This window comes from Homo sapiens, chromosome 2 (assembly GCF_000001405.40).
Source record: "Homo sapiens chromosome 2, GRCh38.p14 Primary Assembly".
NCBI classification, from domain to species: Eukaryota; Metazoa; Chordata; class Mammalia; order Primates; family Hominidae; genus Homo; species Homo sapiens.
The window spans coordinates 117807142-117832828 of record NC_000002.12 but is presented as its reverse complement, the minus strand read 5'-3'; the positions used below and the strand labels follow the sequence as shown (position 1 = coordinate 117832828).

The 25687-nt window shown below is 39.1% G+C and overlaps 1 protein-coding gene across 1 annotated transcript, besides 9 other annotated features; it reads right to left on the bottom strand.

Annotated features, from left to right (window-relative positions):
- Positions 1-451: 451 nt before the first annotated feature.
- Positions 452-18138, bottom strand: DDX18 (DEAD-box helicase 18). The gene is made up of 14 exons (NM_006773.4): positions 17967-18138; positions 15101-15385; positions 13037-13180; positions 11533-11668; positions 11079-11179; positions 10768-10967; positions 10568-10682; positions 8121-8260; positions 7728-7889; positions 7230-7382; positions 6447-6560; positions 3824-3880; positions 3363-3540; positions 452-2247 (listed from the first exon to the last, which is right to left on the bottom strand). The coding sequence occupies exons 1-14, from the start codon at positions 18049-18051 to the stop codon at positions 2105-2107; spliced, it is 2013 nt and encodes a 670-aa protein (NP_006764.3). The 5' UTR covers positions 18052-18138; the 3' UTR covers positions 452-2104.
- Positions 12116-12185: a silencer, noted in NCBI's record as "silent region_11893". NCBI's record gives its function as "represses an Ori minimal core promoter by ATAC-STARR-seq in GM12878 lymphoblastoid cells {active_cell/tissue: GM12878}" and the evidence as "EXISTENCE:reporter gene assay evidence [ECO:0000049][PMID:35858748]".
- Positions 12196-12245: a silencer, noted in NCBI's record as "silent region_11892". NCBI's record gives its function as "represses an Ori minimal core promoter by ATAC-STARR-seq in GM12878 lymphoblastoid cells {active_cell/tissue: GM12878}" and the evidence as "EXISTENCE:reporter gene assay evidence [ECO:0000049][PMID:35858748]".
- Positions 17281-17816: an enhancer, noted in NCBI's record as "NANOG-H3K27ac-H3K4me1 hESC enhancer chr2:118572589-118573124 (GRCh37/hg19 assembly coordinates)". NCBI's record gives its function as "activates a minimal SCP1, AML or CMV promoter by ChIP-STARR-seq in primed H9 embryonic stem cells {active_cell/tissue: H9 hESC(primed)}" and the evidence as "EXISTENCE:reporter gene assay evidence [ECO:0000049][PMID:30033119]".
- Positions 17817-18354: an enhancer, noted in NCBI's record as "NANOG-H3K27ac-H3K4me1 hESC enhancer chr2:118572051-118572588 (GRCh37/hg19 assembly coordinates)". NCBI's record gives its function as "activates a minimal SCP1, AML or CMV promoter by ChIP-STARR-seq in primed H9 embryonic stem cells {active_cell/tissue: H9 hESC(primed)}" and the evidence as "EXISTENCE:reporter gene assay evidence [ECO:0000049][PMID:30033119]".
- Positions 17817-18376: a biological region, named in NCBI's record as "Sharpr-MPRA regulatory region 195".
- Positions 17892-17941: an enhancer, noted in NCBI's record as "active region_16437". NCBI's record gives its function as "activates an Ori minimal core promoter by ATAC-STARR-seq in GM12878 lymphoblastoid cells {active_cell/tissue: GM12878}" and the evidence as "EXISTENCE:reporter gene assay evidence [ECO:0000049][PMID:35858748]".
- Positions 17962-18011: an enhancer, noted in NCBI's record as "active region_16436". NCBI's record gives its function as "activates an Ori minimal core promoter by ATAC-STARR-seq in GM12878 lymphoblastoid cells {active_cell/tissue: GM12878}" and the evidence as "EXISTENCE:reporter gene assay evidence [ECO:0000049][PMID:35858748]".
- Positions 18082-18376: an enhancer, noted in NCBI's record as "tiled region #195; HepG2 Activating DNase unmatched - State 1:Tss, and K562 Activating DNase unmatched - State 1:Tss". NCBI's record gives its function as "activates a minimal TATA promoter and a strong SV40 promoter by Sharpr-MPRA in HepG2 and K562 cells {active_cell/tissue: HepG2 | K562}" and the evidence as "EXISTENCE:reporter gene assay evidence [ECO:0000049][PMID:27701403]".
- Positions 18142-18271: an enhancer, noted in NCBI's record as "active region_16435". NCBI's record gives its function as "activates an Ori minimal core promoter by ATAC-STARR-seq in GM12878 lymphoblastoid cells {active_cell/tissue: GM12878}" and the evidence as "EXISTENCE:reporter gene assay evidence [ECO:0000049][PMID:35858748]".

Sequence of the window (25687 nt, the reverse complement as noted above, 5' to 3'; positions counted from 1 at the left end):
TCCTGGATCCCCAGTGGATGTCTGAAACTGTGGACAACACTGAACCCTCTCTCTGTTCTTTCCTATACATTACCTGTGACAAAGTTTAGTTTATAAATTAGCACACTGAGATTAACATAAAACAATTATAATATACTGTAAAAAAAGTCATGTAAATGTGGCCTCTCAAAGTATCTTATTGTGACTACAGGTAATGGAGATCATAGATGAGGCTGCTAATGGACCTGAAGTAAGTTCTCATACAGCAGGGCCAACCCTGTCCACTTTGTTTATATGCTTTTCTCACAAAACCTCTAGAGACTGACTCATACTAGAGGTAAACAATCTCAAGACTACTGAGCACAAGACATACTGAGATAGGGACAGCCAGTTTGGCACATTCAGGTAGGTATCTTGAACCTAAATCCTGGCAGACCAAACAAGGGTCAACAAAGCATCCATAAACGAAATACAACATTGAAGTAATTATTTAATGACACAGGAAAATAACATGTTATGAAACAAGCTGGTTACAAGTAGTAGGTAGATGACTTAATTTTTGATAAAAAAATTAAAAAGCATGAACATGCATATAAAAATTAGATTATGTACAAAATGCCAACAGTATTTACTTCTGCTCAGTAATTAAATATTCTTCCCTTTGTTTTTGTCTTTTAAAAAACATTATTTCTGAAAAAAAAAATCAGAAAAACATGATCGTGGAGAGAATTATTAAACACCAGGAATTAGGAACCCAAGAAGCTAAGCCAGGAGCTCAGCAGTCAAGGTTGGAAGTCCAGGACAGGTCCGACCAGGGTGATGGTGGCCAAGCCCAGAAATGGAAGATTGTTCTTTTCTTTTCCTACTGGAATGTTCTTTACCAGTTTTCTCTATATTCGATGTTAGCACACTTATTTAATGGGATCCTATGATTAACTGGCACAACAGCAAAATGATGCTAGCAACTTTGGCTTTGAACTGCTACAAAATGTACTATCTTGTAGTTATATACTGTACAAAACACACTAGAAATCAAGTGCTCCTACAACGAAAAACTCATCTGACTAAATCACTGATTTTGCTGTTTTTTTTTCTAACTTTGTTCATTTTCAATCTTCACAGCAAATGTATTTTTTGTTTCAGGGCCTGGAAGAGGTATTTTTTTCTCAGAAAGAAGCTAACATTAATGTGTGCTGGGCACCGTCTGACAGCTTGGCTCTAACTCCAAGTAAGTTGCCCTTGTCTTCTAAGTACTCTACAGAGTGCAAAGGCTTACCAAATCCAAACCACCTTGAATTAAACAAATCTTAATGAGGAGCATCATCGTTCTTTGTATGAAAGTCTTTGTTATGTTACCAAATGAAGAAATGCAGTACATTACACCTCTATTGATGTAAATGAGGCTCAAACATCTCAATTCCATCCTCTTCCTACCCCCCAGCCATCAAACGTTATAACTGCTTAGTGACACTTTATTCAAATTACAACCCATAGTTTTTGCTCCAAAAAATGCAACACCTGAGAAAGGCCTGTTGCTTTAAAATCAAGAATCTATAAAAGCAATGCCACCCTAATCTTAAGGTGCTTCTTAGGTATTTCCCAAAGCTCTTTGCTCTTTTATACTGCAGCATTTTCAGGAGGAGTCATTAGATACTGTCAAGGTCCAAGAAATAACTAAAAACAAAAAATAACCTGAGACTCTTTTCTGCACCGCCACCAGCTGCCCAGTACACTAGGTCACCTTTTACAGCAGTGAGCACAGCAATCCATGCCACAAAAATCTTCGCAAAACAAGAAGGAAAGGTACAAAAAGAATTATATTAAAATGGTAACATACACTTGTATGAGGGAGGGATATTTAAAATTAAAATATTATCATCACAAGAAACACCAGATATTCCTTGCTCTGCCCTTGGGCAACCAAGAAACTTAAAGCCTGTTTTATATCCCAGAAATAAAAGAGAGACGTGATAGAAGTAACAGTGCTCAGTGCTTGCAACCCAAGTCAATTTATACTCTTGTTAGGTAAGTCCAAATTCTAAAGTCTACAAAAATCCTGTTAAATCAAGGGGAAAAAAAATTCATTTTAGGACAAAGTTATTCAAGATGAAAGGAAGGCATGTGTTCAGTGAGAGAACTGCCTGCTGTCAGATGATTTCTTGCTAATGTGTTTAAAGATTTTGGATTTCTCAACTTTCTTGGTTTTCTGGTAGCCAAATCCACCACCACCTCCTCGCTTTTTCTGCTTGCCTTCATTACTGTTGACGTCTGGAGGCAAACATTAAGGAAATCAAGCAAAAAAGATAATGAACTCCAATCTAACATCTACACAGAGAAAAAAACCGGCATGAACACTACTGTTCCTCCACAACCCCATTCTCAACAATGAAAATGTGGGAACATAAGCCTATGCAATAAATTTCCAGAAAATTAGGAGTGGCCACGTGACTGTGGACTTAAATTAGCAGGTATGATTTTAAACTTCGGTGTGTAATAGTCATATTAATTATTTCTTCCACACGATGAAATTCATGACAGTGAATAAGGATTTATGAGTTTAATCAGGAAGTTGGTAGGAGCACATTAAAAAAACACCTCCTGTGTCAAAACAAATGACTATCATTTCTCTTCGGAATTGATTTAGGAATGCCTAAGTGAAGGAGCTGCTCTTCCTTCCACAGGACTCGACATACATTCATTTCAGCTGACATTTACTCAATGCTGACAATGGGGATGGTGACCCAAAATTTGGTCCTCTAGTTCCCTCAGAAGTTACCCCTATGGCACTGAAGCACAGGCCTCATTTCAGCTGCTCAGTTTCTTCTTCTGAAAGGCACAAATTATAAATCACAACTGAAGCAACTGGAAGTACTCCTGCCTTTTATCTTAAGCAACACCTAAGTTTTATTTTCTTTTGCTGAACTTGCCACTTTCTTGCATAAAATCCTTCAGGGGTTCTAAGATGATTAAAACTCCTTGAAAGGTCCCATCCTCTCTTTAGCTTCAAAACACCCCATTCACCTAAGTACCCTGCACAGTGCAGCCTCAGCAAACACTGAAGTTTTGATTTTTTTAACCTGTGTTTCTGCCTGGAACACACAACTGTCTCTGTCTCTCCTTGACAGTCAAATTTCTTTGTCTTTTGAAGGCTCAAGGCATAAGCTGCCTTGTCCCTGTAACCCCATCCTAATGATTAAGCCCTGCTTACCCCATCCAACCTCTATGTCCTGTGCTAGCACAGAAAAGCAGACATCGACCAGGGTGAACACTGGAGCCTCCAGTCTGAGCCAGAACACATACCAATCCACTGCAAAGCCCCAAATGCCCCTCTGTCAAGCTTTTGTTCCTTAGTCACAGGATAACTTCATTAAAGAAAAGGATACTCAGATCAACGAAGGGAGGCACCTTGAAACCAAATGACAGAGCAACCTGAGGCAAATTTAGGTTATTAACATTAAAGATCTGTTTCAGAGAATGGGAATCATAGGCTCGTATGTATGACTTATATGCTTCCTGGGCTGACTTATGAAGAAAGTAATTCTTTTCAATCAATTTCTCAAGCTGAAATAGAAAGAAACACTGGTTTTAATAAACAAAAACAAACAAAAACCTCCAAAACACCAGATTTTAAATATCCTAGAGCAAAGCCACTCCATGGAAAACATTTAAAGAGGGCACAGAGTGGTGATAACTAGAATAGCAAGAAACCTTATACACTACACAGCCTGATCCTCACTTTAGGACAGGGTAGACTTCAAAGGACAGTGATTGCCCAGTGAATCACTACAAACAGAGTGCTGGGACAAGGTTCCTGTTTACTCACAAACGTTTAAAAAGCACATACCTGAGACTGAATGTCAGAAATTTTAGACCAGGAAAAGTCAAATTCACTTAATGGAACCTAGAAATCAAAAGTATTAAGATTAGTAAACCAGGATGATCAGCATTCCGATACTGGGTACTGAAGACAGGGAAGGATGAACCGGCCTATGAAATTCCCTCAGGACAGAAAGGAAAATCTGCTTTTTCTAGTCTCCCAATGTTGATGGGAAAGTTACATCTTTGCTCTGCTGAGTTAGGCAATCTGCACTTCTTTCTTTCTGAAAGGCAAGGAACTGGATAGGGACACAGTCAGTAAAGCACTTTTCTGTAAGAATCTCTATAATCCTGACTATTTGCAACCATGAATCAGCTTGAAGCTTCTAGTCAGAAGGGCCATCAGCCCCTTTTCTCCATGTCAGAAGAGGGGCCCTAATACCCCCACAGTCCTGTATTGAGGCTTGTGACACTGGAGGCCATGATGACCACAAACTCCTACAGGATGGATCTGCCATCAGTTATCACTCATTAGATAACTAGAAAAGCAACAGGCCTGTGCCAGGTGCTAGAGAGAAAATAGGTACCTAACTCATGGACTCTGCCCTCAGAGAGCTTGCCGTCTTGAGGGGGAGAAAGATAAGTAATGAAATGTCAACCTGTAGATTCTGGATATTAGCCCTTTGTCAGATAGGTAGATTGCAAAAATTTTCTCCCATTCTGTAGGTTGCCTGTTCACTCTGATGGTAGTTTCTTTTGCTGTGCAGAAGCTCTTTAATTAGATCCCATTTGTCAATTTTGGCTAGGACTAATATCCAGAATCTACTAAGAACTTAAACAAATTTACAAGAAAAAATCAAACAACCCAATCAAAAAGTGGGCGAAAGATATGAACACACACTTCTCAAAAGAAGACATTTAGGCAGCCAACAGACATGAAAATATGCTCATCATCACTGGCCATCAGAGAAATCCAAATAAAAATCACAGTGAGATACCATCTCACACCAGTTAAAATGGCGATCATTAAAAAGTCAGGAAACAACAGGTGCTGGAGGAGATGTGGAGAAACAGGAACACTTTTACACTGTTGGTGGGACTGTAAACTAGTTCATCCATTGTGGAAGACAGTGTGACGATTCCTCAAGGATCTAGACCTAGAAATACCATTTGACCCGGCCATCCCATTACTGGGTATATACCCAAAGGATTATAAATCATGCTGCTATAAAGACACATGCACATGTATGTTTATTCACAATAACAAAGACTTGGAACCAACCCAAATGCCCATCAATGACAGACTGGATTAAGAAAATGTGGCACATACACACCATGGAATACTATGCAGCCATAAAAAAGGATGAGTTCATGTCCTTTGTAGGGACATGGATGACACGGGAAACCATCATTCTGAGCAAACTATTGCAAGGACAGAAAACCAAACACCGCATGTTCTCACTCACAGGTGGGAAATGAACAATGAGAACACTTGGACACAGGGTGGTGAATATCACACACCGGGGCCTGTCGTGGGGTGGGGGGAGGGGGAAGGGATAGCATTAGGATATATACCTAACGTATATGACGAGTTTATGGGTGCAGCACACCAACATGGCACATGAATACATATGTAACAAACCTGCACATGGTGCACATGTACCCTAGAACTTAAAGTGTAATAATAATAAAAAAAGAAAGAAAGAAAGAAATGTCAACCTGATGAGCACCTGTGCTGTGGGAACAAGGAGGCAGGAGATCAGCGATGGCTTCCCAGCAAAGACAGAGGCGAGCTGAAACCAAGCATTCTGGACAAAGTGTGCAAAAGCTGTAGAGCAATTTCAGGGAACTGCCTGCAGTTACAGGGTAGAGGAAGCCTATCATCAAGACTATGCCAGAAAGGCCAATGAGGATGTAAATGTCAGGCAGGAGAAGGCCTGATATGCATCCCCCACATGGCCTAGCAATGAAGAGGCCACTTAGGGTCCTGATGGATTCAATTCTGGTGTGATAGTAGAAAGCTAAAGCCAAATTAGGCTGGTTAGGGACTGAGAGGGAGGTAAATGGCAAGAATATAAGCCATTTTTCCAGTAAGGCTGACTGAGGAAAGGCAACAGACAGTAGCTCCTGCAGGCAGGGGTAGAAGAACAGGTTTAAGGTTGAAGTTACTTTTTTACAGTGAGAAATTTGAGATGGTAAAGCGCCAACCGCAAGGAAGAGACTGTAGGCCAAGAGTTGATGAATAGGAGACAGAGGGCAGGGGAGGAGGCAGAGGCTAGAGCGAACAAGGATTCCCCACTGCTTCACATGAGGTAAGAGGAAAGAAGGGGAGCAGAAGCAGAGATGACTAGGTGTGAGGGAGCTTCAAAGGAGTGGAGAAGGTTTCAAAGAGGGCTGGAGGGAACAGGAAAGGAGAGGCTGGGACACAGAGGTGTTGCTGGGTAACAGAGCTAGAAAGCCGAGCCATGTGGGCAGTTCCTTCTGTGCTCACTTCTTGGGCTAGAAGTACATAAAACCTTACTTGCTTAATTGCCATAAGAATGGTTGTAACAGCACTGGCCAGACTCGAGACTCCTCTGACACATGTAGAAATGTTGCTTGCTAACAATCCCTACACCAAGAGAAATCTTTCTCCAAGTACAGATCTTTACCTTGGATTGTTTCAAGTAGCGAAGAAAACCCAATTCTTCTGGGCGCAAAATGAGCAAGGCATGCCCTCTCCCATTTAGGCCTCTGGCTGTTCTACCCACACGATGAATATATTCCTTTGGTGGAGAAAGAAAATCTGAGTTAACGCAGTGACTTCCACATGAGCCCATTTGCGTATCTGCATCCTGAGTATGTGCATGTCTGTACTGAGATGGTGTAGTCCCACGGTGCTGGGCCACACACACCTTCACCACACCCCCACAAAGCTGGGCCAGCAATCGCTCTGTGCACATCACCCCCAATAGGCCAATGATTGAGGCCCAAAAAAAAAAAAAAAAAAAAAAAAAAAAGGCTGGACATGATGTTTGCATTAACAGCGATCTAATAAAATGAGTATTATGTGTGCTTCATCATCAAAACGGCTTTAATCCAGTGTTTGTTGAAAATACTTCTCAATGAAGCTTATTCTACCACATATACTACAGAAGTTTATCTACTTCCTTAAGCAATTTTATTTCCTTCAGGCATCTGCTGTTCTTAAGAGATCATTCCAAGGATCTCATTTTCATAACTTAAGTCCCACTGATCCTTTTCAATCCTCTGGCACAGCCCGTTTGAGCCCTGAAAAGCCTTAAGTACTTTTCAATACCAGAGAAATACTGCAGTCACTGTATAGTAGGGATCTTTACCTTGAATGTGGAATGCAGTTTCCGTCAGGGAACTGGGAGAATAAGTGAACTTTTAATGCAGAGTCATTCTGAAGATATTCCAAAGATGCCAGTTACCTTAGGGTCATCCGGAGGGTCATACTGAACAATCCAGTCGACTTCAGGAATGTCTAGTCCTCTCGCTGCCACATCCGTACACAATAGTGTTCCCGAATCTGCATTGCAGAACTGGAAGAATGTGGTTGTACGCTTATTTTGCTTTTGCTTTCCCTAGAATTAAATAAAAACATCCATTAGAGCTGGAATCTTGAGGAAGACTAGCAGTAGAACCCCCAAATTGTGGAACTGTTACCCTATTTCGAGCTCATCCCTTGGCCTATGTCCTATTTCCCCAACTGTTCCGCAAGCCCCTCAAGGAGGATGGTGTCTTGCACTCTTCGAAAGTCCTCATACCCCTCCACACCCAGCAGCGCTCCCCCACACAGGATCCATCATCTAGTGGTGATCAAACTACTCAGAACAATGTTTCCAGGAGAGGGCAATACCTCCAATCCTACAATCTATAGGATTTAATAAGCATACCCTGTTTTCAATGAGCTCATCATCATCACTTACATGAATGGCCAAGACGGGCAAATCAATGTAGTTCAGCAACTCATAGTGGTATTTCACAGACATACAAGATGAAAAGAAGACCATAAGCTTCTTCTTTCGGTTCTTCTTAAGGAATGTAAAGAGCAGAAGGAATCTCTTTTCAGAAGGACAAACAACATATCCCTAGAAAGCGTTTAAGCAGACAGATACAAATGAACCAAGTGGACATTTTCCATTTCCTAACTTGTGTAATTTCATCAAGAGCACTGATAAACACAGTGTGTAAACTGTCATGCCTCACCTACAGCATTTTAAAAGTTCATTAACCCATTTGCTTTCTGAATGATCCTTCCAACAATTACATAAAAACACCAAGTAAGATCCCTACAGTTTTCAGTTATTGATAAAAAGTACCTGTTCAAGACCATCCACTGTTGCATTCGCTTTATCATCATCAACGCCAACATACAATGGCTCCTTTTTCAGAGAAATCCTTGCCAGGTCTTCAACTTTTCGAGTTTGGGTGGCAGAAAAGAGCATAGTCTGTCTACGTGCTGAAACAGATACATATAAAAATAACCCCAATCTTTTAGGGAATCTTTACAATTGCCTCACAACTACAAATATTCTAGGTAGAGATATCAGAAATGGGAGATATGATGTTTCTACAGAATCTACAAATATTACAAAAGGTAAAAAGGGTATATCATGAAACACTAGGTCTATAAATTTGAGGACTTAGATGAAATGGACAAACTCCTTTGAAGACAAACAACTGAAGAAAATAGGAAAACTTTAAATAGCCTTATATCTACTAAAGAAATTTTAGTTATAACCTTCATGTAAAGAAAATTCCAGGCCCAAATGGATTCCATTGGTGAATTCTACTGAACATTTAAGAAAAAAACATCAATTATTCACAAACTCTCCAATAAATTAAAAAGAGGGCTTACATGTCAACTCATTCTTCGAAGTCAGTCATTACACTATACAAAAACCTGACATGACATGACAAGAAAACTATGGACCAATACAATTCGTGAGCACATATACAAAATTTGAAATAGAATTTTAGTAAAGTGAATTCAGCAATATATAAAAAGGATAATGGCTCATGTTTATTCTAGAAATGGATCAGGTTTATTCTAGAAATGCAGGTTGGTTCAACATTTGAAAAATCAACCAATACAATTCACTATGTTAACTAAAGAAAAAACATGATTATTTCAGCAGACAGAAAAAAAACATTTGACCATCTATTTCTGATTAAAAATCCTCAGCAAACTAGGAACAGAAGGGATCTTCCTCAATCTGATAAAAGGCATCTATATAAAACCTGCAGCTAACTTCATATGTAGTTAATGGTAAAAGACTGAATGCTTTCCCCTAAGATCAGAACCAAGATAAGGATGTCTGCTCTCACCACTTCTATTCAGCACCATACTGGAGGTTCTGGCCAGGGCAATCAGGCAGGAAAAAAAAATTAAATAAAGAGGTGAAACTGTCTTTATCTGCACATGATTGCCTATATAGAAAATCCAAAAGGCTACAGTCATCTGGAAAGTCATACTGAATAATCATTCGGTACAGGATTAACTGTCTTGCTAGATACAAGATCAATATAAAATTCAACTGTGTGTGCATATATATGTGTGTATATGTGTGTGTGTATATATGTATATATTAAAGCAACGAGCAATTGGAACTTGAAATTTTAATGAAACACTCAGAGATAAATCTGACAAAAGATGTGAATAAACCTGTATCCCGAACCCCCCTAAATATGATAGAGAAAATATCGAATACATGGAGATATACCTTATTATGGGTTACATGACTCAATACTGTCTTCCTCCAATAATCTCTATTCAATAAAATCTCAGTCAAGATCTGAGACTTTTTTGGAGGGAAGGGGGAGAAACTGACAAACCAATTCTAAAATTTATATAGAAAAGCAAAGGACAAGAATACCACAACTTTAAAAGAGAACAAACTTGGGGCTAACATTACCTGATGGTCAAGACTTAATAGGAGGAACTGGAACTTTCATACACTGCTCATAGGAATGTTAAATGGTACAGCCGCTTTGGAAAACATCTGGCAGTTTTTTAAAAAGTTAAACATACACTAAACATATACCAACTAGGACACTCCTAGGTTTACTTAAGAGAAAAGGAGATATATGCCTCTACAAAGAGTTGTAGATGACTGTTCACAGCAACTTTATTTCCAGAAAATGCAACCTAATCTAGCAGCAGAAAACAGATCAATACTCACCTGGGGACAAGGTATACGTGTAAGGAGGGGTGGGAGGGAGAAATTGAAAAGGGGCAGGAGGAAACCTTTGACTGTGATGGACATGTTCATTTTCTTGATTGCAGCGATGATGTCACAGTGGTAAACAAATCAAAGAACATCAAATTGTACATTATAAATGGGTAGATATAATTATACTTTGACAAAGCTTTTAAAAATAAATTATATAATGAAGGAAACCATGGTCTTAGTTATAACCAGTTCATAATGTTGCAAGTACTATAACCAAGGTATGTACAAGTAAGGCAAAAAATCTGCGGCTTCTTGGGGGATGTTAGATGAGGTAAGAATGGGCAAGAGGTGGAGGACAGGACCTATGTGAAGACTGCTTAACGTGCCTTATAACTTCTAAAACAGCAAAACTATTATATCAAGTTATAATACATTTGATGCTTGTATTCCAAATTACCTTTCGGGTTAATTGGCACAACTACCTCACTTGGCTATGGTAAAGTTCTGGCATTAGTACAGTTTTTCTATAGGAACAACTCTTATCTACCTCCAACAGATACTTTGCAAACCAAATGCAGATGCTACCTACTTACTTGGCAAAAGTTTAATAATTTGCTTTAATTCCTCTTCAAACCCCACATCCAAGATACGATCAGCTTCATCAATAACCAGACACTGCAGGTTTTTATACATAAATCCTGGGGTATTCTAACAAAACAAAGGACAAAGAACAACCATTAGTTGTCAGTTTATGTTTCATACAAGACAATGAGACAAGCACTACATCTCTTACCTGCATATGGTCCAGCAGACGGCCTGGTGTGGCCACAATGATGTTGATCCCATTACCAAGTTTCTGTGCTTCAGCAGATCTGTTACTGCCACCCATTATCAAGCCATAGGTATGCACGTGGTGAGTCATCAGCTCCTTAAGAACACCAAAGGTTTGCATGGCTAGTTCTCTAGTAGGTGAGAGAATAAGGACTCCTGTTCCTAAAAATGATATATGGTAGAAGTCTAAATGTGGCTGTCACCACTGAGTCCGTAACAGCTACAATAAACCTCTAGTGAAATAATGGCAGAAACAAGCAGATGAACGCTTACCATTCCTGGGCATGAACCTTAACTTAACAATGAGTTCAACTGCAGGGATGAGAAAAGCCAGGGTTTTACCACTGCCTGTTTTTGCAGCTGCTAGAAGATCCCTAAATATTAAAAAGGGAAAGGAGAAAGACATTTAGCCTACTCATTTACGACGTACTACATACACACACCTTAGGCACTACGGCTAGAACATGAACAAGAAACGTCTACAGTGCTGAAATTGATCACCTGGGTTATATACTGAAATCATAAGTCAGAACTGTGCTACAACAGAAGCAGAACACCTTTCGAACACTTTCCTTCAAACATCAGTAATTAACTTAAAGCCTTTAATGTATGCTGGATACATGACCCAACATATAGTACAAAATCAACAGAATATACTGGTATGTTCTTTATCATCTACTAGTTCTAAAAATAGATGCCAATATCTAAGCTTCAATGTTAATCATACCTGCCTTCCAGAAGTGGTCTGATACTTTTATGCTGAATTTCAGTCATGTTTGTAAAACCCATTTCTTTTATTGCCTTCAGAGTGTTTTCATTGACAAGATTACATAGAGAAGCAAACGAAGTATCCTCAAAAGCTCCTAAACAGAAGACAATTTATCATTAGCAAATTTATCTTTTTTTTTAAAAAAGTATTGCTACAGTTGCCTAAATCTATTTTGCTTAGAAAAGCTTCCCGCAGTAAGAAAAGGCTAAACCTTAATTATTCATATGTGATAATATCAAGAAAAAGACCCTATATCTTTCAAGTTTCTCCACTGTTAACGGCTGTGTGAGTTATAGTCCAGAGACCATACTATAACAAAACAAGGGGTAGAGAGGAGGTATAACCAAGGAATTTATATAAAATAAAAATACCAAAACAAGGAAAATAATGAGAGTCCAGAGATAAATGAAATGTTTAAGAAATCTGATATAAAAGTGAAAACATTGAGCATTAATAAAAACTGAGTGTGAAGTCAATAATAAAAAAAAAACCTGTTAATCTCACTCCAACAAGACACAGAAGAGTCAGATACAGCCACAGAATGTTAGGCTGAGCCTACGTATCAAGTAATACAGTGGTGGTTCAGCAGAAGGCATCAAAATCACCTGGGGGTTCCCCATACTCCACATGCCCAGGGTGTAAACCAATCACTCTTGACCTTGGCATTGCTGACATCTGGGCTGAATAATTCTTTGCTGTGAAACACTATCCTGTGCCTTATAAGATATTATGCAGTGTTTCTGACCTCTACTCACCAGATCCCAGCAGACTGCTCCTAGCTCTGAGAACCAAAAATGTCTCCTAGGCTTAGGATGACCAATCTTCTCAGTAGGCTAGGGACAGAGGAGATTCTTGGGATTCAGAACTTTCAGTGCTAAAACTGTTAAAGTTCTGGGCAAACCAGGAAGAGTTACTCTTCTTACTCGGGGGGCGAATTTCCCTGCTCGAGAGCTACTACCAAAACGTTTGCAATTTGGATTAAGCAGGTCTAGGGTTGGGCCTCAACATTTTAACAAACCAACCAACCCAAACCAAATAAACAACTCAAGTAACTCCTAGACATATCTGGTTAGGAGCAGTGAATTCTAGCCTAAACTCAACTTTATAAAGGAACAAAGGCCAAAGGAGGTTAACCTCGTACAGGGCCAATCATTTTCCTATTACAACATAGAATGAGACTCAGAAAAGGACAAACCAAGGAATCCTAGAAGCTGCTAGTGTGCATATAAAATATTTGGTGTCAGGAATGAACAAAAGGAAAAAAACAGGGAACAAAAAGAACTAAAACACCACAAAATAGAAGATAAAGAGAAAAAGCAGCAGAAAGATATAAAAAAAGTTTCTTGTTGATAGTTACTTTTTTCAGGTAAACTGAAAGTCACAACTGAACCTTCAAACCTATAATCCTCTAAGAGAGGCACATTTTAAAGAAGTTACCTCTAGAAAACTTCCTGGACGTTACCTGTCAGTCCCAGGGGCAGACTGGGCACCTCACTCTCATCTTCATCATTATCTGGCTTCTCCACATTATTTTCTGTTTCTTTAGTAGTCTCGGCACTTTCTTCTTCAGATTTCCCTTTGTTTTCAGTTTTTGCTTTTTTCGTATCTTTGGTTTTAAAAGACAAAATCCGAAAAAATTTTTCCTTAAAATAGAATTCCAAATGAGATCAACAAACAGAAGATCTCTGATATAAAGACGTATATTTTCAAAAGCTAAGTATATGCTGTATTAATTTGTTAAGAATTCTGTTTGGTGAAAAATGAGTGGTTGTATTTAAAAACCCAGGGTACAGACAGACTTGGTGACAAAACCTTTTAGGCTTTTGTTCAACTAAACAGTATAAACATACCAATTATAAGTTTCACATACTCCACTGAGGGGAAAGGAAGCATACCTGATTAACATAATCCTTAAAAACTCATTATAAGTAGTCATTTTTCTTCCCACGCCAATCACTATCAAAGGCTCTTCATGTTACTAGAGATAGACTGTAAAGGAAGGGCAACAACCCACTTGCCTGGCTGACATACACTGGACTGTGCCTTGGCTATCAGGGATGAGGGTGGGAGGAAAGGCAGGGCTTCTTCCCACCCTCATTTCTACATTCACAACTTTCATGTGGCCCCAACTACCTTTTCAGTCCTACCTCTCACTTCTCTTTTCAATGTTCGACTCTGGGTCAAATGGATTAACCACATGCTGTGTTTATATAAAACTATATGGCAATTAGTGATGTTTGAAAAGAACTTAGACCACAACCCAGGACTCTCTGTAGCTCAGTACTGGTCTCCTCCCTGTACCTGACGGCCACCCTTCCAGGAAAGAGTCAACTTTGTAGGACCTACATGTTCAAAAGCCACAGATATCTTCAGCTGGTCTCCATGGCTTATTTTGTTTTCCCTGGAATAGTTCCTAAAATGTACCCATAAGGTGGTTGGGTGTGGTGGCTTCTGCCTGTAATCCCAGCACTTTGGGAAGCCGAGGTGGGAGGATCACTTGAGCCCAGGAGTTCAAGACCAGCTTGGACAACACAGTGAGACCCCATCTCATAATAAAACAAACAAACAAACAAACAAACAAAAAACCCATAAGGTTAAAACGCCCAGCATTGTGATTCAATGCTTGGGAGCAGAAATAATACCACTTCCTGGGGCATACTCAAAACAAGAATTGTGAAGGCAATAATTTTAGAACAGGATTACAATGACTTCTGTGTGTAGGCATCATGAAGACAGTAATGCATGTTTGGAAAAGTTCAAAGTCCCTTTCTAAATAAAACCCTTATTTCAGGTAAAATACATGAATAGGATGTTCCAACTCAGGGGCTGGCAAACTTTCCGCAAAGGGCCAGATAGTAAATAGTTTAGGCTTTGCAGGTCATATGATCTCTGTTGCCATAAACACAACCAAATAGGCATTGCTATGACCCAGTAAAACTTTATTTACAAAAACAGGTAGAAGGAGGGATAGTTTGCTGACCCCTATCTTATCCTACCTTGATATCTCTGCTTATACAAATCTCAATTATAATGTCCATTCTTTCATCCGAGCTTACTGAAATTCCATCATCTTCAAAAAACATTCCTTCCTTTTCCTCCTGCCATTCTTAGCACTTGGAAATTAATGTTCCATTTATTCAGAAGTTTCCTACTTTATATACTTTGTAACTAATATTCCTTTCAAAGGGAGGAATTTATGGAAGGAAAATGGGAAGAATCAAGCAGGAAAAAAGGTAACTTAAAAAGAAGAGAAAATTTCTAGAATTCTAAGGAGAGTCTTTTCTGAGAGAGGTTTTCTTCAAGGTTAGTGAAATTAAAAATATATTCCTCAATATTTTGAGAAAAGTTGAAATGGACTCCCCGCTTCTGCCAATAAAATGTTTCCATTAGCTACCAGGCTAATCTCTAACATACTGGTGAGTACAGGGAATTCTCATGTCATGTGCACACAATAGTAATAGAAAGAGGAACAATAACCGTCTGTGAAAAACTAAATGGCTGAAGTTCAAAGATAATAAATACCTACCAGGCTCAGCATCATTCACCATTTTTCTCTTTTTCTTCTTTTTCTTTTTTGATTCTGAATTGGAAGACTGCATTGCTGCTTCTCCATTGGTTAATACAGTGGATTTCTGGGGAGACTTTGTAACTTTTATATTTCCCACTGCTTCTTGAGACATGCCTCCATTTTGAGTTTCTGATAAGCCCACATTCATGGGCTTTTGTTTTGATTTTTTAACCTTTCTACTTCCCATTGTTTCTTCAGATACATCTCCATTTTGAGTTTCCGATAGGGTCAGATTTGAGGCCCCTGTTTAAATAAACAGAACATATACTGTGACAAAGAAGGAGAAGTTTACTTAGAAACACTGAAATCCCAAATGAGAACTTCCATGGCTTCCTGACACAAATTATTTAGATTTTCTTCTCTTTCATGTAATTAAAACAACTTATAGTTTTATGGTGTTCCCTTATAGGGAAAGTAAGTTATCTTAAAGAAAAAATACTGGAAAAGGGAAAGCTATATTGATTTCTTAACTGCAAAAGACCGTACATCTGACTTTAAGGAGTCTAGGACAGGAAAACTTCAATGAGGTCAAATATTTAAACAGATGAGGTCAGATAATGGCAGTTACAGAATAAACATAAGTATTTGATAAACATATGATTAACTGATATATTGAAAAAGACATTTACAACTCATTCACACAAGTACTATTTTTCATACCACTTCAAAACATTCAACCCCAACTCTTCTAGACTGCAGTGAGTTGAAAATTCAGTTGATAAGACCACTTATTTGCTCCAATATTTATCATATGCAAATACAGTAATGCGTGCACAATGACATTTCTGTGAATTAAGGACAACATATACAGTGGCTCCATAAGATTATAACGGAGCTAAAAAATTCCTATCACCTAGTGCCATCAGTAACTGCAATGTCGTAGTGCAACATATTACTCATGTTTGTAGTGATGCTAGTATAAACAAATCTACTGTAATGCCAGTCGTATAAAGTACAGCACACATAATTATGTACAATACATAATACGTGATAATAAACTATGTTACTTGTTTATGTGTTTACTATACTTTTGATCATCATTTTAGAGTTTACTCCTTTTACTTATTAAAAAAAAATGAGTCGACTGTAAAAGAGCCTCAGGGAGAGAGGTATTTTAGAAGGCACTGTTATCATAGGAGATGACAGCTCCATGCCTATTGTTGCCCCTGAAGATCTTCCAGTGGGACAAGATGTGGAAGCGGAAGACAGTGAAACTGAATGTGTCTGTGTCTTTACATTTTTAACAAAAAGCTTAAAAAGAAAAAAAAATAAAATAAAAATCACATAGAATAAGGACAAAAGGAAACTTTTTGTACAGCTGTATGTACAATGTGCTTGTGTTGTAAGCTAAGTGTTATTAAAGTCAAAAGGTTAAAATTTAACAAGTTTATAATGTAAAAGTTACAGCAGGCTAAGGTTAATTTAAGAATAAAAGTATTAAAAAACTCAACAGTGTAGCCCAAGTGTACAGTGTTTATAAAGTCTATAGTGTACAGTAATGTTCTAGGCCTTCACATTCACTCACCGCTCACTGACTCGCTCAGGGTAACTTCCAGTCCTGCAAACTCCATTCATGGTAAGTACTGTATACAGAGGTACCATTTTCTAAATCTCTCATGTCATAGTCTTTTTACTGTACCTTTTCTATGTTTAGATATATTTAGCCATACATACACTTACCATTGTGTTACAATTCTCTGAGTATAGTACAGTAACATGCTGTACAGGATGACAGCTTACGAGCAACAGGCTATATCATGTAGCCTGGGTGTGTAGTAGATTTAGGTTTGTGTAACTAGATAAAGTTCGCAAAACGACAAAAGCCCCTAATGACACATTTCTCACAATGTATCCCCCCTCCTGTTATGCGATGCATGACTGTACCTGAGAATGTCCTTACCAAAGGTTCCCTGTTTGTTTACTGAAAAAGATAAAACACCATCTTTTGTTCAAATTTACTTACATATGCGCTGAAAAGTAGTAATGCTGTAGTATTATTCTATAGGAATTAGAAATACAAGAGTATTTCAAAACATATTCCTAAAATTCACAAACCTATTGCCTCCTGCAGAATTTTTTTTCAATTAATGTCTGTTGAAAACCAACTGGGGCAAGGCACTGTGCCTCCAAACTTTCCCTCGGGGAGTTTGTATCTTAACCTGGACAACAGGTTAACACAATTACTTCAAGATCTGTGGCCCCACTGTCAGGACACTGGGACTGCAAATGAGGTAGGTAAGAAAGGTGACATTCAGATAAAATCCTTTTCATTTAGGTCACTGTGCGGGACACAAATACGTAGAAGCTCTGGTGAGAAAGTGCTACGAGAACGTGTGGAAGTGGGTAGAGGAAGGCAATAGTATCAAAGAAGCTCTGTGGAAACAGCCAGACGGGCTTTTGGGGAAAGAAATACGGGAATTAAATAGATGTGAAAAGTGGGTGGAAATGAGACGTTTCATGCAGCATAACCGGAAATGAGGGATGAGGTGAGGTGCGACTTGCAGGTGGTGAGGGAACCAAAAGCTAAGGTGGAAATGCAAAAGGCAGGGTTAGTCGTAAGCCTAGAAGTGAACGGGGAGTCCTCCCGCTCTAACGTTGTAAGAAGACACTGATTGCTCAGAAAGGTCAGGAGCAGCGCTGGAGCCACGCGACGAGTGGGCAGCAGCGCGGGTCCCGAGTGGAAGCTGCCTTTTCACTCTCCCCAATCACACACGCTGCAGGGGAAGCTGCCTCCGTCACACAGAGCAGCTGGGCCCCCGGCCGCCCGAACGCGCCAGGGCTCGCGCGTGGGTCTTCTGAGCCACCGCGAGTCAACGCATCTCACCCTGAAACTTTAGGTTCCGCTGCCGCAATTTGAGGTTCCGCTTCTCGATCTTCTTACGCAGGAGTTTCATCGGCAGGTGTGACATTCTGCCCAACAAGTGCCTAGAATAAGGCGCCACACAGTACAGCTACTCAGTTCTCAGGCTGACGTTACTTCCCTTCCGGCCGCACGTGCGCAGCTCGGCCAACAGGAAACGCGTCACAGGAACGCTGGCACCCGGCGGAACGAAAATGCTCCAGAGCGGAAATGCTTCCAGACGCGCGCACCGTGATATCTTTGGCGACCAAAATCTTTGCAGCGCCCCCTGGAGAAGTGGAAGCGAGACGCTGCACTGGCTTCACACTGTGCTAAAGCTAACTTGAGCTCCCCCTAGAGGAAGACTGAAGAAAGAACGTGGAGGGGAAGGAGGCCTTAGGGAGTCCGCATTTTTATGTTCCTATCCTCTGTGGGTGCAGAACTAGAGTTGGCCCTCCCTGTACCTGAATTCCCTGTCTGTGGATTCAACCAACTCCCCCATTGAAAACATTAAAAAAAAAACAATTAAAAATAATACAGTGTGATAACTACTTTCATAGCATTTAGGTTGTATAAGGTATTATAAGTCATTTAGAAATGATTTAAAGTATACAGGATGTTGTGTGTAAAATAAATGCAAATATTACACTATTGTATATAAGGGTTTTGAGTATCCTAAGATATTGGTACCCATAGAGGGTCCTGGACTCAATCCCTTGTGGATACTGAGGGACAACTGTATTTGGGAAACTGAATAGAACTAAATTATATATATGCATTTCCAAACTTGTTTGGCCACTCTCCTCAGAAATACAATTTCTGTGTCACTTGGTACACATACACACATAAATATAACATTTCTCAAAATAATATTCTTGCTTTTCACTCTTTTTCCTTCAATTCCATTCATTCCATCCTAAATTATTCTTTTTAGCTTACTAAAAATACTGATTCCTATGAATTTAAATTAACTTTACTACATTAATAATAGGTTGACTGCAGTTTGAAAAAGAGGTTTATATATTCCTTAAGTATACCCAAGGACCCTTCAGCAGTCCAGGACAGAAATTGCAATGTGGCTAGCTAATAGTCATCTCTTTTTTGGGATGGGGAGGAAGACAGGGGTATGCATATAGTATTTAATTTTTAAAAAAATTGTTATCAACATTAAAATACTTGGAGATTTCCATAAAAATTCATATTTGTCTTTAAAAATTGGCCCAATGCCCTCAAATTCCCCTTAACAGTAATCAATTTGAGCTGAACAACTGGAAGAGTCCATGAAACCTGGATTAATTTGTTTACTTGGAGGGGCAGAACATGAGACCCTGGAGATTAGACCTGATCATAGTGAGGAACAGAGAGGGAGAAAACTTGGGAGGGAGTTTAAACAGAATGTGAAGGAATTGACTTCGAAATCACATTGGATTGGACTGGAAAACTAAGACAAACAAATAATAATGTGCTTAGATTAATTTGTTAATGATCAGGCAGGCTGAAGAATGATTCAGAAATGTAAGAGCGCACACACACACGCAAACATTTATCTCAGTGTAAATATATATGCCAGTTTAAATTTATGCATATATCAGTATATATATGCATATACACATATGTATCTATTTCTATAGCTCTATGTACATACATATATATTTACCTGATTACATGTGTGAGTTTTGGGTCTGTGACTTTGAAATAGATACAACTGAAGTATATATAGAAAGTGCTCAAAATTTGTTATTTCTTTTATGTTGTAACTTAAATTTGTGGGGCTATGTTTTGGTAGTAGTAATGGAAAGGTACTCCCTTTTTTCTAGAGTGTGACTTTTTCTAGCTAGTAGTGAAGATTGGCAGTCATTTCCTCAAAACCAAAAAAACCCACATTTACGAGGTGTTTAAGACATTTAGATCAGAGAAGCCGATCCTTTCAGGTGCATGGAAATGCTTAACGTTAGGGATTGATAACCTTTTAAGAAACATAGATAAAGCTACTGATGCCAATTCTTCTGGATTTTTAGAAGAAGAATGAGAAATTATAACTTCAAATCAACTCTCAAAATTAGGGTTGAGAGTTATTTTTAACAGAGTGAATTTCCAAGGCCACATCATCAGTTACTCTAGCAAAGAAAACAATGTCATTGGGTTAGCTACTCAAAAATTACCTGTGAGGATGAGGTAACAATCACGTGCTTCTGAAAAGCCTGTTGTTCTTCACAGCTGGAGCCTATCCCAGTATCTATTCAGAATGCGTTTCAGTCTTTAAAACTTCTTGCTTGGGCTCTCCATCACAGAGGTCTCTCTCTTCAGAATATGGTCATTCGCCATAAAACAATCGCATAATATAGTCATTATGCAACTATTTTTTGAGCATTTTTGTGCTAAGAGTGTGTGGTAGGCATGTGCCAAATCCTGGGTATAAAATGGTGGACAAGATAGACCTGGCTCGCCTAGGTGGAGCTTACAGAGCTTACAAGGAAGACAGAAAATTAAACGATTATGGTAAACTATGATGAATGCAGTGAAAAGGAAGCACATCACAGGAGCAACATCCTAGCCTTGGGAAGGGGTCTGGGGATGGAGTCTGTCATTCAATATTCATTATGCATAGGGACTGAGCCAGCAGCAGGCAGAAGCAGGAAGGGAGTTGCTGTCTTTTTTTTGTTGGTTTGTTTGTGTGTTTTGAGACAGAGTTTTGCTCTTGTTGCCCAGGCTGGAGTTCAATGGCGCGAACTTGGCTTACCGCAACCTCCGCCTCTGGGTTCAAGTGATTCTCCTGCCTCAGCCTCCCAAGTAGCTGGGATTACAAGCATGCACCACTATACCCAGATAATTTTGCATTTTTAGTAGAGACAGGGTTTCTCCATGTTATTCACGCTGGTCTCGAACTCCTGACCTCAGGTGATCCATCCGCCTCAGCCTCCTAAAGTGCTGAGATTACAGGCATGAGCCACCGCACCTGGCCAGGAGTTTCTGTCTTTTACCTCCTGACTAAAAATAATTAAGTTTAACATAGAACAGGTCTTATTCATGCTGTTTTGTTTTTCAGTTTTCACTTGAGATCCTTAAACCTGAGACAAGTGTTTGTAAAATAAAACGCAGATTTGTGTAGTTTGTCATTCAAATTAAAAACGTCCCACTTCACTGGGAAAAGAAATCAATCTATTTCACCAACATCATAGAATTGTGAGCCAGAAATAACTGACTCATCCTCTCGGATCACTGCATTAGGACTCTTGAAGTGATTTTCTAGGAACTTTCAAATGCTATTTTCTATAAGGTTAACCACTCTGTTGTGTATTGGAACTTAAAAAGTGCTATGTTATTGTAAATAAGCATGATGTTGCCTCCTTCACATTACCTGACTTTCCTGGACCAGCATCTGGTTCTGTGTATTTCTACATTGTAGAAAGCAGATGGCTGGTACTTAAGAAAGGTTTTCTTCAGTGAACTGATGGACATAAGAGTGAGAGATTATTTTAAAGAGCATCACCACAATTCATGACAAGTCATTATTGCAGTGGTCCTAGGAGCTGGAGAGGATACAGAAACATATAACAGAAACTTTTCTGTCAAGAAGTTTATTCATTTATTAATTTAAAAAAATACCATCTATCCATTCCAGGTACTGTTTTAGGCCTCAGGGATCAGCAGTAAACAAGACAGGAAAAGTCCTCATTTCCAGGGAGATTACAGCCTGGATAAGAGACGACAGGTATAAGTAAACCTTGTGATTGAACAAGATACCTTTGCATGAAGCTAAATGCTGGGAAGACATTACAACCAGACAATGCAATATAATAAAGAGGGATGGGTGGGAGGGCAGGACAGCATGCTATTCAGGTGGGAGGTATTTTTTGAGGAGGCAAAGATCTAAGGTCAGAGAAAAGGCTGTCAAAGACAAGTCTTAATATGCTATTAAGTAACAATTCAAGGGATCAAGAGCAGATTTGTAGTCAGGAGCATAAGAGGAGATTTGCAGGGGGAAAGAGTCTAGGGGCTGGGTCAGGCTTGAGTGAATAAGGGGATAGTGACAATGTTAAAATGAACTGCATTTGACTTCCTTCCCTTCGAGTCATAGTCTGACCACTGATGATTGAATCACAGACTGAGTCTTGCTTGTACAGTATGTTGCGGAAATAAGAGGATGGAAATGAATTTATTTTTAATACACTTCTTATGTGGAATAATTTTAGACTTGCAAAAAAGTTGCAAAAACAGTGCCCTTTACCCAGTTTTCCCTAACGTTAACAACTTATGTAGCCGTGATACATTTATCAAAATAAAGACATTAACGTTAGTGAATCACTATTAACTAAATTAGACTTTATTCAGATTTCACTAGTTTTTCCACTAATGTCCTTTTTCTTTTTTTTCTCTTCTTCTTTTTCTTTATTTCTCCTAAAAAAAAAGGGATACACATGCAGAACGTGCAGGTTTGTAACATAGGTATATGTGTGCCATGGTGGTTTGCTGTACCTATTGACCCATCCTCTAAGTTCCCTCCCTTCACCCTCAACCCCCCAACAGACCCTGGTGTGTGTTGTACCCCTCTCTGTATCCATGAGTTCTCAATGTTCAACTCCCACTTATGAATGAGAACATGTGATGTTCAGTTTTCTGTTCCTGTGTTAGTTTGCTGAGGATGATAGCTTCCAGCTTGATCTGTGTCCCTGCAAAGGACATGACCTCATTCCTTTTTATGGCTACATAATATTCCATGGTGTATATGTTCCACATTTTCTTTATTCAGTCTATTATTGATGGGTATTTGGGTTGGTTCCATGACTTTGCTATTGTAAATAGTGCTGCAATAAACATACATGTGCATATGTCTTTATGGTAGAATGATTTATATTCCTTTGGGTATATACCCAGTAATGGGATTATGGATTCAAATGGTATTTCTGCTTCTAGATTCTTGATGAATCGCCATTCTGTCTTCTACAATGGTGGAACTAATTTACATTCCCACCAACAGTGTAAAAGTGTTCCTATTTCTCCACAGCCTCGCCAGCGTGTATTGTTTCCTGACTTTTTTTTTTTTTAATTATACTTTAAGTTTTAGGGTACATGTGCACATTGTGCAGGTTAGTTACATATGTATACATATGCCATGCTGGTGCGCTGCACCCACTAACTTGTCATCTAGCATTAGGTATATCTCCCAATGCTATCCCTCCCCACTCCCCCCACCCCACAACAGTCCCCAGAGTGTGATATTCCCCTTCTGGTGTCCATGTGATCTCACTGTTCAATTCCCACCTATGAGTGAGAATATGCGGTGTTTGGTTTTTTGTTCTTGCGATAGTTTACTGAGAATGATGATTTCCAATTTCATCCATGTCCCTACAAAGGACATGAAATCATCATTTTTTATGGCTGCATAGTATTCCATGCTGTATATGTGCCACATTTTCTTAATCCAGTCTATCATTGTTGGACATTTGGGTTGGTTCCAAGTCTTTCCTATTGTGAATAGTGCTGCAATAAACATACGTGTGCATGTGTCTTTATAGCAGCATGATTTATAGTCCTTTGGGTATATACCCAGTAATGGGATGGCTGGGTCAAATGGTATTTCCAGTTCTAGATCCCTGAGGAATCGCCACAATGACTTCCACAATGGTTGAACTAGTTGACAGTCCCACCAACAGTGTAAAAGTGTTCCTATTTCTCCACATCCTCTCCAGCACCTGTTGTTTCCTGACTGTTTAATGATTGCCATTCTAACTGGTGTGAGATGGTATCTCGTTGTGGTTTTGATTTGCATTTCTCTGATGGCCAGTGATGGTGAGCATTTTTTCATGTGTTTTTTGGCTGCATAAATGTCTTCCTTTGAGAAGTGTCTGTTCATGTCCTTCGCCCACTTTTTGATGGGGTTGTTTGTTTTTTTCTTGCAAATTTGTTTGAGTTCATTGTAGATTCTGGATATTAGCCCTTTGTCAGATGAGTAGGTTGCAAAAATTTTCTCCCATTTTGTAGGTTGCCTGTTCACTCTGATGGTAGTTTCTTTTGCTGTGCAGAAGCTCTTTAGTTTAATGAGATCCCATTTGTCAATTTTGGCTTTTGTTGCCATTGCTTTTGGTGTTTTAGACATGAAGTCCTTGCCCATGCCTATATCCTGAATGGTAATGCCTAGGTTTTCTTCTAGGGTTTTTATGGTTTTAGGTCTAACGTTTAAGTCTTTAATCCATCTTGAATTGATTTTTGTATAAGGTGTAAGGAAGGGATCCAGTTTCAGCTTTCTACATATGACTAGCTGGTTTTCCAGGCACCATTTATTAAATAGGGAATCCTTTCCCCATTGCTTGTTTTTCTCAGGTTTGTCAAAGATCAGATAGTTGTAGATATGCGGCGTTATTTCTGGGGGCTCTGTTCTGTTCCATTGATCTATATCTCTGTTTTGGTACCAGTACCATGCTGTTTTGGTTACTGTAGCCTTGTAGTATAGTTTGAAGTCAGGTAGCGTGATGCCTCCAGCTTTGTTCTTTTGGCTTAGGATTGACTTGGCAATGCGGACTCTTTTTTTGGTTCCATATGAACTTTAAAGTAGTTTTTTCCAATTCTGTGAAGAAAGTCATTGGTAGCTTGATGGGGATGGCATTGAATCTGTAAATTACCTTGGGCAGTATGGCCATTTTCACGATATTGATTCTTCCTACCCAAGAGCATGGAATGTTCTTCCATTTGTTTGTATCCTCTTTTATTTCCTTGAGCAGTGGTTTGTAGTTCTCCTTGAGGAGGTCCTTCACATCCCTTGTAAGTTGGATTCCTAGGTATTTTATTCTCTTTGAAGCAATTGTGCATGGGAGTTCACTCATGATTTGGCTCTCTGTTTGTCTGTTGTTGGTGTATAAGAATGCTTGTGATTTTTGTACATTGATTTTGTATCCTGAGACTTTGCTGAAGTTGCTTATCAGCTTAAGGAGATTTTGGGCTGAGACAATGGGGTTTTCTAGATATACAATCATGTCGTCTGCAAACAGGGACAATTTGACTTCCTCTTTTCCTAATTGAATACACTTTATTTCCTTCTCCTGCCTAATTGCCCTGGCCAGAACTTCCAACACTATGTTGAATAGGAGTGGTGAGAGAGGGCATCCCTGTCTTGTGCCAGTTTTCAAAGGGAATGCTTCCAGTTTTTGCCCATTCAGTATGATATTGGTTGTGGGTTTGTCATAGATAGCTCTTATTATTTTGAAATACGTCCCATCAATACCTAATTTATTGAGAGTTTTTAGCATGAAGGGTTGTTGAATTTTGTCAAAGGCTTTTTCTGCATCTATTGAATAATCATGTGGTTTTTGTCTTTGGCTGTGTTTATATGCTGGATTACATTTATTGATTTGTGCATATTGAACCAGCCTTGCATCCCAGGGATGAAGCACACTTGATCATGGTGGATAAGCTTTTTGATGTGCTGCTGGATTCGTTTTGCCAGTATTTTATTGAGGATTTTTGCATCAATGTTCATCAAGGATATTGGTGTAAAATTCTCTTTTTTTGTTGTGTCTCTGCCTGGCTTTGGTATCAGAATGATGCTGGCCTCATAAAATGAGTTGGGGAGGATTCCCTCTTTTTCTATTGATTGGAATAATTTCAGAAGGAATGGTACCAGTTCTTCCTTGTACCTCTGGTAGAATTTGGCTGTGAATCCATCTGGTCCTGGACTCTTTTTGGTTGGTAAGCTATTGATTATTGCCACA

Coding starts and splice junctions, on each gene's coding strand:
- DDX18 (NM_006773.4), bottom strand. CDS start 18,051: ATGTCACACCTGCCGATGAAACTCCTGCGTAAGAAGATCGAGAAGCGG. Junction 10,968..11,078: donor AAGGTTCATGCCCAGGAATG/GTAAGCGTTCAT, acceptor TATCATTTTTAG/GAACAGGAGTCCTTATTCTC. Junction 6,561..7,229: donor ACCCTCCGGATGACCCTAAG/GTAACTGGCATC, acceptor TCTCCACCAAAG/GAATATATTCATCGTGTGGG.